The sequence below is a fragment of the Homo sapiens genome, chromosome 8 (assembly GCF_000001405.40).
Source record: "Homo sapiens chromosome 8, GRCh38.p14 Primary Assembly".
In the NCBI taxonomy this organism is placed as follows: domain Eukaryota; kingdom Metazoa; phylum Chordata; class Mammalia; order Primates; family Hominidae; genus Homo; species Homo sapiens.
The window spans coordinates 12,900,501-12,901,540 of record NC_000008.11 but is presented as its reverse complement, the minus strand read 5'-3'; the positions used below and the strand labels follow the sequence as shown (position 1 = coordinate 12,901,540).

The 1,040-nt window shown below is 36.7% G+C and overlaps 1 annotated feature.

The window, feature by feature from the left end:
- Positions 313–814: an enhancer, noted in NCBI's record as "NANOG hESC enhancer chr8:12758236-12758737 (GRCh37/hg19 assembly coordinates)". NCBI's record gives its function as "activates a minimal SCP1, AML or CMV promoter by ChIP-STARR-seq in primed H9 embryonic stem cells {active_cell/tissue: H9 hESC(primed)}" and the evidence as "EXISTENCE:reporter gene assay evidence [ECO:0000049][PMID:30033119]".

The following is a 1,040-nucleotide window of genomic DNA, read 5'->3' as shown; positions in this document are numbered from 1 at the left end:
TATATTTTCTATGTTAATACTAATATAAAGGCTGGTTGAGACTTGGAATTACTGAGCCTTTGTCATTCAAAATCTTTCCTTCGAGTTTTACTTGTTACTGTTTGTGGTCTAGAAATAGTCAACTTTTCCAACTCTGCAAGGCTCTACATTTCTAGACTATAGTCGTCCATCTGTGAGGGGATTAGTTCCAGGACCCCCTAGGATACTAAAATTCTCAGTTGCTCAAGTCCCTGATATAAAATGGTATAGTATTTTCATATAACCTATGCCTATCCTCCTTTATACTTTAAATAATCTCTATATCATCCCTATATTACCTATAATACCTAATACAATGTAAATGCCATGTAAGTAGTTGTTATACTGTATCATTTTTTATTTGTATCCCTTTTTATTGTTACACTGTTATTTTTTATTTTGGAGGGTTTTAAAGAATATTTCTGATCTATCATTGGTTGAATCCTCTGACGTGGAACCCACAATTGTATTCCCTCTTATTTCTGCTTTAAAATTGGCCAATTTACCTCTTTCCTCTACTGTTATGCTAATCACAGCCTGTAATGACCAACGCTCACCACTAACATTCTTATTTTCCAACCTCTTTGCCTCAGCGGGCTAGCAGGCTGCCTTCTGGGTTATCACAGGTAGTGATTAAATGTTCTGCCCTGCACAGCACAGATCTCCAGTTTGTTGGTCTCCATCCTCATATGGCAATGTCCTCACCTCCCACTGCCTGAACTCTAAGACAAGCTTTTAGGTTTTTGTTAAAGCAGCACTCCACTTATAGGCACAAATTTCTCTATTAATTATGGAGGGATAACTGCTGCAACACATAACCCCCAAATCCTGGTTACTTAACAGAAGTCTATTTCTTGTTCACGTGAAATCCATGAAAGGTTAAGTGAGACTTATGGCTTGCTTCAAAAAGAAGTAAGGAAGATTTTGAATCCTACTCACTGTGTTGGATTTCTGAAAAGAGCCTGCTTTATCCCAAGTTCATAATTTCTTTCTTGTGATTCATATTTAATCCAATAGCTTCA